The sequence below is a fragment of the Homo sapiens genome, chromosome 5, assembly GCF_000001405.40.
Source record: "Homo sapiens chromosome 5, GRCh38.p14 Primary Assembly".
In the NCBI taxonomy this organism is placed as follows: Eukaryota; Metazoa; Chordata; class Mammalia; order Primates; family Hominidae; genus Homo; species Homo sapiens.
The window spans coordinates 158408440-158420417 of NC_000005.10; the positions used below are offsets into that span (position 1 = coordinate 158408440).

At 38.0% G+C, this 11978-nt stretch overlaps 1 long non-coding RNA gene across 1 annotated transcript in view; it reads right to left on the bottom strand.

Moving 5' to 3' along the window:
* Positions 1-1334, bottom strand: part of LINC02227 (long intergenic non-protein coding RNA 2227) — an 89091-nt gene extending 87757 nt beyond the window's left edge. The window contains exon 1 of the long non-coding RNA NR_109888.1: positions 1207-1334. This is a non-coding gene — a long non-coding RNA (long intergenic non-protein coding RNA 2227). The remainder of the gene's footprint in view (positions 1-1206) is intronic.
* Positions 1335-11978: the final 10644 nt, after the last annotated feature.

Sequence of the window (11978 nt, forward strand, 5' to 3'; positions counted from 1 at the left end):
GCCTGCCACCGCGCCTGGCTAATTTTTTGTATTTTTAGTGGATACGGGGTTTCACCATGTAAGCCAGGATGGTCTCGATCTCCTGACCTCGTGATCTGCCTGCCTCGGCCTCCCAAAGTGCTGGTATTACAGGTGTGAGCCACCGCGCCCGACTGTCTCTGCCTTTTAATTGCAGTACTTAGCAGTTTATATTTAATATAATTATTAATATGCTTGGGTTTTAAATATGTCCTATATTTTATTTAAGAAAGTCCTATATCTTCTTTGGCCTTTTTCTCTTTTTTCCCACTTTATTTTGTAGTAAACCAGTTTTTTGGGGTTTTTTTTTGTTTGTTTTTAGACATTCTATTTAATCTTCTCTATTCACTTTTTAGCTACATACTTCTACCTCTTTTTTTTTACTTTAATTAGCTTTTAATTTATTTCTCAGTCCTTATTTGCACAAGCAATAGCTTTTGATGTGGTTGATAAATTTCTCTTCCTTGAGAGAATTTCTTCTCTTGAATCCCAGGGCATCGTATGTGCCAGGTTTTCTTTTTCTCTTTCAGACCACTCCTTCTCAATCTCTTTTGCAGAGTCTTTCTGATTCTCTGACTTCTAAATTTTGGGGCCATTCTTTAGTTCAGTCCTTTTTTTCTTTATATACACCTTTTTTTTCTCTTTATATACACTCCCTAGGTTGTATAAAGGTTTTAAATACACTCAAATTTGTATCCCCAGTTTGATACCTCTCCCTGGAACTCAAGACCTGTTTATTCAATTGCATACTTAACATTTCCACTTGGAAGTCTAATAGGCATGTCAAACTCAGTGTGCCAAAACTGAGCTCCTGACATTCACCACCCCTCCCTTCATCTCTACCTCCATGCAGTCTAGATCCTCATTCAGTCTTCCTTATTTTAACTACCAATTTTCCCAATTGCTCAGGCAGAAACCTTGGTATTTTCCTTGACTCCTCTCTTCCTCTCACACCTCACTTCTAACCAATAAGCAATTTCTGTTAATTCTATCCTCAAAATATTCATTCACCCATCTCTCATCACTTCCACTGCCAGCCCAGGCAAAGCCATCATCAGCTCTCACCTGGATATTGCAGGAAACTTCTAACTCACCTCCTGCTTCAGCTTCTGTCCCTTGCAGTCTGCTTTTAGCACAGAAGTCACAGTGATCCTATTAAAACACACTTTAGGCCATGCCAGTCCTCACCTTTAACCCCCAAATTCTCTTCCATCTTACTGAAAATAACAGAATGAAGAGCCCTTTCTGTTATCTTCAGGGTCCTGCATGATCTGGACATATGACTACTTCCCACACACATTTTCACATGGCCTAATATCACATATCACCTTTTCAGAGGGGACTTTCCTGACCACACTCTATGTAAATATCACACTTCTCTCATAATTCATTTTTATCCTACTTTATTTTTTCTCTATAGAACTTTCTATTACCTGAAATTAAATATTTACTTGTTTATTATTTGTCTATCTCCCTAAAATAAAAGCTCTCTGTTGGCACTAGAACATGCCTAGTAAACAAATACTTCGAAAATATTTGCTCAATGCATATCTTTTTTCATCTTTGGTATTTTTTTTCCAACCTGGTAATTTGTTTTTTTATGTATGTCTGTGTGGGGTTTTTTGCTAAATTCTGTTAAATTTTTTTAAAATTTTAATTGTTATGAATACATAATAGTTGTACATATTTATGGGGTGCATGTGATATTTCGATACAAGTATACAATGTATAATGATCAAATCAGGGTAATTGGGGTATCCATCACCTCAAACATTTATCATATTTTTGTGATAGGAATATTTCAATTCCACTCTTCTAGTTATTTTGAAATATAGCATAAATATTGTTAAAAACATTCCAATTCCACTCTTCTAGTTATTTTGAAATGTACCATAAATTATTAACTATAGTTGCCCTTTTGTGCCACTGAACACTAGATCTTATTCTTTCTCCCTGACTGTATTTTTATACCCATTAACTGGGTCTTTACTCCTCCTCAATCCCTGCCACACCCACTGCTCTTCCCAGTCTCTGGTAACCATCATTTTACTCTCCAACTCCATGAGATCAATTTTTTCAGCTCTCACATATGAGTGAGAACATGCAATATTTATTTTTACGTATGTATGTATGTATGTGTGTATTTCAATGAAAATTCTCTTCATCTATACGTTTTTGGAAGACAGTGACCTGACTTAAACATCTTTATTTTCAACATATAGTGTAGACTTCCCCCAAAGGATAGCTTCTCAGACAGTATTTCCTGATCCATTGATTAATGATAGATAAAAGGGGCAGATATTTTTCCAACTTGTTTATTTGTTTGTTTTTATATATATATATGTATGTGTACATATGTTTGCACTTAAACTAGCAAATATTACCTTCTTATCTATAGGCTTTTGGAAGACAACAACCTCACTTAAGTATCCTTTGTTTTCAACACATAGCACAGACTTCCTGGAGACTGTTTTTGTATATGTAATTAAAAAAAACAAAAACAAAACAAAAAAAACCCAGAAGACTAACAGTCTAATTTTGAAAAAAAATCCACAGTCATGTGAATGACAGATGATTTTGGGTATGACTGGGGACTGGAATGGACACAGAGCTCTTTCAATTCTGTCTAACAAAGCCACAGACTAATGTTAAGGAATGTTTGTGTGATCTCTCCAGTGTGGAATCAGTACCCAAACACAGGAGTCTTTACAAAGATCCAAAATAATCATAAAACCATTATAACCACAAGCCCTCTTCAGAGTTATCCCCTCAATAGTGAATGCTGCCTTTTCAAGCCAACTCTTATATTGAGAGAAGGGTTGTAATATCTCCAGCCTGGAAGAAATCCCTATTCCTGTGGCTCATTTACTACATCTCTGTGGTTCTTGGAAGGAAGGATGGAGTGAAAGCCACCCCAGGCAGTTGACTGTGAATTCTAGTCTTAAGCAATGTATGGAGCACTTCAATAAACTTTGGCTATTTAGCCAGCCTTCGTTCCCTAGAGAAATACTGCCCAGCTATCCCCAAGCTCTGGTAGATTGTTTGCCACGGACAACTTATTGATTTATGGTCCTGGGCATTCTTAGAACTCTGCTAAGAGAAGGAAAAGGCATGATCACCTTGTAGGAGCTATGAAGGTAAAGCCTGCCTTCGAATCCTCAGGTAGCATAAGCAAGAGTACCGGGGGGCATAGTGTGCATTTCCTATTCTTACAGGGTGCCGGGCACATAGGGGTCACTCCATCAATAAGGGAGGAGAAAGAATGAAATGAACTGGGAGGATAAAAAGCAAGAGGCTCATTGCTCACTGGATGTCTACTGTCTAATGGGGAGGGAGGGACACAAACTCAGCTGGCTTTAAGTTATAAAGCAGGGTGAGAACTTTCACGTCACTGTGAATTCACACAGTTGTAATTTTTTACTTAACATTCACATGCTCTATATTCTTTCCATAAAGGTACAAACTGTATTTCTCTTAAAATGTCAATACTGCCACATTGAACTGCATAAAGAGCCTGACCTTGGAAGCTCTCCTGAGCAAGAAACTACCTAGGACCCTACCCTAAGCTGGTCTAAGGATATTTCACGTTTGTATTCCCCACAGGGTCTAGATTGAGGTTTGGCACATGTGAATGCTTAGTATTTCCTGCATAAACACCTGACTGAAAAAAAAATATGAAAGAGCTTGATACCAATGGCATCTTTGTTGTGTTCTTAGAATTCATTAGAAAAACAACTTTGCTGAATATGAAATGGAAACTCCAAGTCTTTCCCCGTATTGGTTAGCTTTCTCTCACCAATATGGTGCATGGTGCCAGCATAAAGTGCATCAGACGTGATAGTGGGCTTTCAACATGCCACACAGCAAGGTGAATTTTTCAGAACTCCCAAACCTCCCTTGAAAACACTTCTACGCAGGTCACATCATGATATATTTGCCATTTGTAAAGTGAAATACCATCATGAAAGAGAATATTTAATGCCATAAAGAAAAACCCTACCTTTCCCAGCTTATAAATGTCAGATCACCAATTCCAACTGCATAGGGAAAGAATCATAAAGTAAGATCATAGTCTCCTGCGATTTTTGAATCAAAATGGAAATTAAGAAATGAAGGTTTAATAATCCTTAACGTTTGCTCTTTGGGAAGGCTGCTGTTTGTTGAGAGTGGGGCTGGCCTACATTAGGGGTGGACAGTTGAGAGAAGCTTCCTTTTCATCATCCTGTCCTCACAGTGTGCACTTTTGCAAACTTTGTGGCTCCGGGATTGTACAAATACAATGTTTCCCTGATGGCCTCACAGCATGAGACAAGGCAAAGCATTCGGGGATGGTCCCTATGGTCCTGAGCCCAGTTTTAAGATGTAAGCAAGAATATCAAGGATAAATAAGTGCTTTGGATTGCCCAATTACTTCTACTTTCTCTGGCCTTGTGGCTTTTGATAGTCATGTAAAATTCACTACAAATGGATAGAAATGCCTCTTCTTCAAATGTTCCAGAGGAAAAAAATTCAAAGTTCCTTTAGCTGTATATACCAGGGCATTGGCAGCACTCAGGCACTTTGGAAAGCATGTTGGTGGTAACTACAGGGCGGCCACCCTGTCTGAAAGCATTTTGGTACATTTCATACAATGAATAAATGTTGGACTTCTATTATGTATATTAATTCATACCAAATAGTTAATTCATATGATGATATTATTTATGATGAAATTATTTGTTTCCGGACCTTCTGCCACATGTTTTATAATCTTAATGTGCTTACTCCATAAGCCACATCTCCACTTCTCAATTTTTAGTTGCATTCTTGCTCAAGAGGCACAAATAAGGATGTTCATTTCAGAAATGATTGGACTGGAAAAAAATGTTAGTCAGATTCTAAATGGTCGGTAATAGAGATCTGGTTAAATAAATGTTACGCATAATGTAATAAGAAGGACACTCTCACACATAACAACTATAAACTGTAGACAAAATACAAAAACTACCCAAGGGCTCTAGAGCGTGAACAATAGTTAGCAAATTTGGGGAAGAAGTCAAAACTTAAAGAAAGAGACCAACATGTGTAAGTTTCTGATTTTTGTGGCTCTGCCACATGGTGAGCAACAGTCAGGGACCAGAGACAGAGCCTGTAGTTTAAACACTGGTGTTTACCTGTTTACCTGGATGGCCATTTTTAACAGCAGGTCATAGATTTCTGCCATGCTTTAATAATTTGTGCAAAGGTGCAAATTATTGATGACTGATTTTAATCTTTGAAAACTTAATGAACTTAAATTTCCCTTGGAGGGAACAAAAACAGCATAGTAGAAGCACACAAAAATCTTCAGTAGTTTCATGTCCTCTTAGAAGCCATTCATAATCTACAGGTTAAAAAAAATCTCTGCTATAGGCTAGATTCCCTTCATGATAGAGACCAACATAGGATTGGTAGAGCAAGTAATATTATGAATTTTTAAAATTCAGGATAAGAAATATCTTTAAGGATGGGGATCCTCTGAAAACTTAACCTGAAATAAATGTAAAATTTTGTAGTTAAGTCTAAATAATTAATTGCAAGTATACAGAATGACAAAGGTATGATACAGTAGCCTCATAAACAGAAAAAAGATATGAAAGCTTATTGATAATATGCTCCATTATATGCCATAAATATTATGTGCTTCCCAGAGAAACGAATGTGATCTTCTGTTACTTTAATGGAGTATCGGTTTCTAGAACTGCACTGCACAATATGGCAGCCCCTAGCCATATGTGGCTATTTAAATTAAATTTACTTTTTAAAACAGCTCAAAAATAAAGTGCTTCAGTTGCATTAGCCACATGTCAGGTACTGAATAGTCAGTCACACATAGTTAGGTAGCTGTTGCACTGGACAGCATAGATAGAGAACATTTCTGTGATTGCAAAAAGTTCCGTTGGACAGCATTGTTGGGAACAAGGGAGGTTAAGAGTCATGCTGTGCTCTGCATTGGACAGAACACACCTGGCATCGTAGACACATGCTGTTTGCTGCCCAGAATCGATTGCTCTCTTTTCTTGGTAAGAGAATGCTGAGTTTCCTATGGGAGAACATGCTGTTCCCATTCTCAGTCACCTGATTTGGGAGGGATTGGTGCCTCCCAATCAAGGAGGGGACCCTCATGACTCCCTGTGGGCAGTGTGGTGTAAAGAGGGAAAATACAGAACTATAGCAGGTCTTTTGGTCACATAAGGGGAGAGTGTGGACCTGCTGGGCAGCCACTTTAGGATGAAGACATCACTATAGGATATCCAACAGAGGGAAAGTGCATACTATGGGAATATTTAACCTCTGGATCTCACTTCATCTGAAGCCTACCCTTCTTCCTCCTGATTACATGAATTCATAACCTCCCTTCAGTGTTCAAGTCACTGAAGTTGGGTTTCCTATCCCTAGATGATACCTAAATGAGCTCCCTGATAAATTGAGTTCAGCTGCTTGTGTTTCTGTTTGGACAATGATACAGCACAATGGAATGTTTTCATAGGAGAAAGACCAGGAGGGCGAAAGAAGTTCAAGGAAATATCCCTCTTCTATTCCCATGGCCAAATTAAGTCTTTATTCCCAGGCCAGCCCCAAGTGGCTGATGTGACCATTTTGACATTTCATAAATTCCCTTGGGAAGAAGGATTCTAAAAGCTTCCAGTCTTAATTTAAAGTAGTATGGTAGAGGTAATAAGACCATCTGATGAAGTCACTGAATCCACAAATCTCTCTGTATTGCTAGGACAAAAGATAAGAGAGCAAATCATGTAAAATTACTTTCCTTTTAAATATAAGTGACATTCATACCGGCACAGGGCTGCATTTTAATAACTGTACTACTGCAAAATGTGTCACTTTAGTTGCATGATATTATAAAAGAAAACCAGTGGATATTATTTTTGTGTCATTTTCTAATCCAGTGCATTTTTATAAAATTCTACAGATTGAGTTAAAATTTTAAAGGAGTATATATAATGAAATTTGAAATATTCTTTGAGGGTAGTTCTTCTGAAAGGTTGATGGAAGCATCCAATAAAGGACTGCAGAGGATTGTTTTCAGAGGCTTGAGGAAGATGGCAGAAAGACATTCTATGTATTCTCAAAACTGTTTTTAAACTCCTATTTTATGGCTGAATTAACTAAGATGTTCATTTGTTCCCTGCCACACACGCATGGAAACGAGAAAGTGTAGATTCTTCAGAGTTTACAAGTTCTAATACAGAAGTCCACAGCCTTGTCTGCACAATAGAATCACCCGGGGGCGGGGCGCTTTAAAAATATGAATGTTATTGAACATAATTACAACATGATCCAGCAATTCCATTGCTAAGTATACACCCCAAAGAATTGAAAGCAGGGACTCTAATAGAATCATGTTCTTCTATGTTTATAGCAGTACTATTTACAACAGCCAAAAAGAATAAATAACTCAAATGTCCATAGAAGGATGAATGGATAAACAAAATGTAGTATATACCTACAATGGAATTTTATTCATTAAAGAGGAAGAAAATACTGACACATGCTATACCATGGATGAACATTAAAAATATTATGCTAAGTGAAATAAACTAGACAACAAGAAGACAAATATTGTGTGATTCCACTTATGTGAGCTACCTAGAATGGACAAATTTATGGACAGAAAATAGAACAGTGGTTACCAGAGGCGGGGGTAGGGAAGAATGGGGAGCTATTGTTTAATGGGTGCAGAGTTTATATTCGGAATCATGAAAAAAACTTCTGAAGATGCATGGTGGTGATGGTTGCACAATATGAATGTATTTAATTTACAGAATTATATATTCAAAATGGTTAAAATGCCGAATTTTATGTTGTATGTATTTTACCATATTAAGAAAAATGTGGATGCCAGAGTTCCACCCCTAGGATCCTTATACAGTTGTTTTGGGGTACAGTCTAAATATTGGAACTGTAAAGGCCACCTGGGTGTTTTTAATGTGCAGCCTTATGCCTCAGGTCCGAAAGGTGACATAAAAAAGTGAAAACAGCTCAGGTGAGGTCTGTGAAGACATGCGAAGAACATGAACTGTCTAAAGGGGGCAGCTGCCACCACTTGTCCCTGGTTGATGACTGCCCTGAGGGAATACAGGTCTCAGAGTGGGTACATCTTCTGAATTGTTTAAAGAGGCATGTATCTGGAGGGTAAAGAAACCTAATTCTTAAATGATCGTAACTTACTGAAACTTAAAAATAACACCCAATGACAAAATAAAATATGTCTGAGAGCTGCGTGTTCTCTAGGCCATAGGATATCAACCATCTCAGTTTGCCTGGGATTGTTCCCAGGCAACTAAAAAGTTGCCAAAGCACTGGTAAATCATTTGGGAAATCACTCTGTCCCAGGGAAACCACTATGGTTGGCCACCCTAGTGGGCTACCTTTTTTCTTTTTCTTTTTTTTGGTCTGAAGAGGCAGAACAACACACGTTTCTTTGATTCCCTTCCATGGTCCCAGACTGGTGACAGTGCAAGGTGGGGGCTTGACAGTGCAAGGTGGGGGCTTGAAAGTGTTTTACCTCCTATAACATTGGTCAGCAGTCCCCTCACCATAAGCCATTCCAAATAAACATTCATTCTAAGTAAAAACAGCAATCTTGCTAAGCAAACCCAGCCTTAAGACAAATCTCATTCCATTCCTCTTGGTTAGGTTTGTGCTTTTAGACCCTGCCTATAGAAAACTTGGAGCCACTATGGCATAGACAGCTACGTAAGGAGCAATTCTGGGAAGGGAAGAAAACCCCACAGTCATGGCTGTGGCTTCTCATTCTTCTTTCTTATAAATGATGTCCTAGAAATGTGAAGCAAATAAGTGGTACTTATTCTAGAACAGTCCCTGGATGTTGTTTAAGGCCTCTCATTGGTCAGGTTTCTGTCAATCTTTGCAGCTCTGACATTTTTTTTACACCTGTGGTCAATTGTTCTGGTTGGACATCTTGGTGGGTAATTGATTATTAACATAAGTGGCAGTCTTTAGGGTTATACACAAGTATTCTGGTTGCAGTCTCTCTTTCTGGTGACATGAAGAGATACTTTCTTACTCTCTTGACGGTGGCTGTGTGATCTGCTTTGGCCAACAAAATGTGAACGGAAGTGATGTGTGTCACTTTCGTCTGAGGCATTTAGCTGCTGGTGCTCAGCACCAACCTTCTTTTTTTATCTGTCTTGGCAGTTAAGGAAATGTTTGTCAAGATGATGTCTTCACTAGCCTGGGTCCCTGAGTGACCACCCATGTTGGAAATGTAGTGAGCACAAGAAATAATTCTTTGTTGTATTAAACCATGGAGATAAGGGACTATTTGTTACTGCAGCATAATCTAATCACCTTAACTGACAAGGTAGAGAAATCACATATGTGAATCATGTGATTTGGTTCACATCCAGAGCAATAGTCGATGCATAGCATACTATATGAAAATACTTTCCTAAAATTTAAAATTTATGTTGACTTTTCCTACCAAATGTCTAGATAAGGAATAAACCTCAACTCTAACTACTTCTTGTTCCTGTTCCTCTCTAGTCTACTGTTGTCCGATAGAACATTCTGTGATGGTAGAAATATTCTATATTGGTGCTGTCCAATACAGTGGCCATTAGCCACATGTGGCTAATCTATGTAAGTTTGAAATATGGCTAGTGCAACTGAGAAGATGAATTTTAAATTTTATTTAATTTTGGTTGATTTAAATTTAAATCACCTTGTGGGCCTATTAGCTGTTATATTGGGCAGCATAGCTCCAGACAATCTAGTTCTTGCCATGTCAGAAAGCCCCTCGCTCCTAGAACTTTTTCCCTCCATGACTCTGTGCCCGTTGCTTCCTAAGCTGAAACACTTCTTCATTGAATCTGTCTTTATCTTAGGGTCATGTCAATTGTAATTTTTGACCTGGAACAGAATGATCCTCCCCTGCGGTTCCATGCAATGCTTTATTTGTGTGTCTGGTGTGGTAATGACTTCCCTCTGTCTTTTGAGTTAGGTGGGAATATCTATCTTTTCCACCCCTACCTTTGTATATATCCTATGGGCAATAGCCTTGTTATTTATTTGTGTATATCTCATAGGCCTTGTTCCTGGTAGGTGCTCAATCAAGAATCAGGAAACCTCATATTCATTTAAAAATGGGTCCTCAGACAACCCCATAAGTGAGCCTTAAGTTTAGCACCAAGTTCCAAGGATTATTTCAAGTGGAAATGCATTTATGAGATAATGCCTGGGAAATGTTTGCTGGCCCAAGACTCTTGTTTGTCCTGGGTTGCGAAAAATGAAAAATCAACCTTTATGAGTAGTAACTTTATCACATGGAAGGGAAAACACAGGTGTCCCTTTTGTACACTCAGTGGGGTCACTAAAATTTGGGTGGTAAGCTTTAAAACTGAGTCATCACATTTCCCCAGTCCCTTAGTGGCATGGGAAAGGCTAGTGAGGCCTAGCAATAATAGGTCAGCTGTGGGGAGAGTGAGAACACCACCCCATGCTTTGGGGCAGGGTATCCAGGATGTGTTTCCTGGCCTTCACTGAGTAGCAGAAGGAAGAGGGTGAGATTTGGAGTGAGCTGGACTTTGGATGGACATGCTCATGTCCTGCTCATGTCATAGTCAAGAGTCTTTCATCTGAAGGAACCAGAAACCATCTCAAGCCAATGCAAAAAAAGGATTCCAGAATATCTTGTGAATACAATCACAGCTGGACTGCCTACGTTTTATTTCAAGAGTAGCACAAAACAATTGAGGGATTTTTAGGTAAAAGTCTAGCATGTAAAAGTAAGCTTGAGAGCCTTGTATTTTTTCAAGCCATTCCCCCTCTTTGACTGGCATTCAGGGCCCTGCTCAACCAGGCCTCAGACCCTAGCCTTTCTTTCTAATACAACCCATGACACAGCCTCACAGGACTCAAACACGGGACCATCCACACCTCCATGCTTTCACTTCTCTGTTCCATGCCTGGAGTATCGTTTCCTTCCTCAGGAATTATCTTACTCTTTTTTTTTTCTTTTTGGAGCCACTATCTATTTTCAGAATTCTTTTATCATTCCAAACTCTGTACCAATCCAATAATAACTCCTATGTTCTCTTCCTACACAGCCTCTGGTAACCTTTATTATAATTTATGTGTGTATGCATTTGCCTGTTCTAGGGACCTCGTATAAATGGAATCATACAATATTTGTTTTTTGTGTCTGGCTTAGTTTACTCAGCATAATGTTTTTCAAGGTTCATCCATTTCTTAGCACACATCAAAATTTCATTTCTTTTTATGGCTGAATAACATTCCATTAATGTATATACCACATTTTGTTTGCCCATTTTTGAATTGGTTGTTCATTTTTTTGTTGAGTTATAGGAGTTTTTAAAATACTCTGAAATTCAATCTCCTATCAAATGTATGCTTTTCAAATGTTTCCTCCCATTCTATGTGTTGCCTTTTCATTGTCTTGATAGTGTACTTTCATGCACAAATGTTTTTAATTTTGATAAAGCCTAATTTATTTATTCTCTTTTGTTGTCTGTGCTTTTGTTTTCATATCCAAGAAATCCCGGTCAAATCCAATGTCATTATTTTCCTCTATGCTTTCTTCTAACGGTTTTAGAGTTTTAACTCTTTTGTTTAGGTCTTTGATGCATTTTGAGTTAATTTTTGTATATGGTGTGAGGTAAGGGTTTACCTTTATTCTTTTGCATATGGATATCTAGTTTTCCCAGAACCGTTTGTTGAAAAGACTATCCTTGCTCTCATTTAATGGTCTTGGCACCTTTGTCAATTGACCATATATGTAATTAATTGGCCATATATATAAGAGTCTATTTAAAAATAACATGTTTGTTATTTTTATCTGACACCTTAAATGCTATAATAGCCTATTAAGAGGTAAACAACATTTACTCATAATCAACTACTCAGATTAACATTTTGGTGGTTTTTCTTTTTTTTCTTAA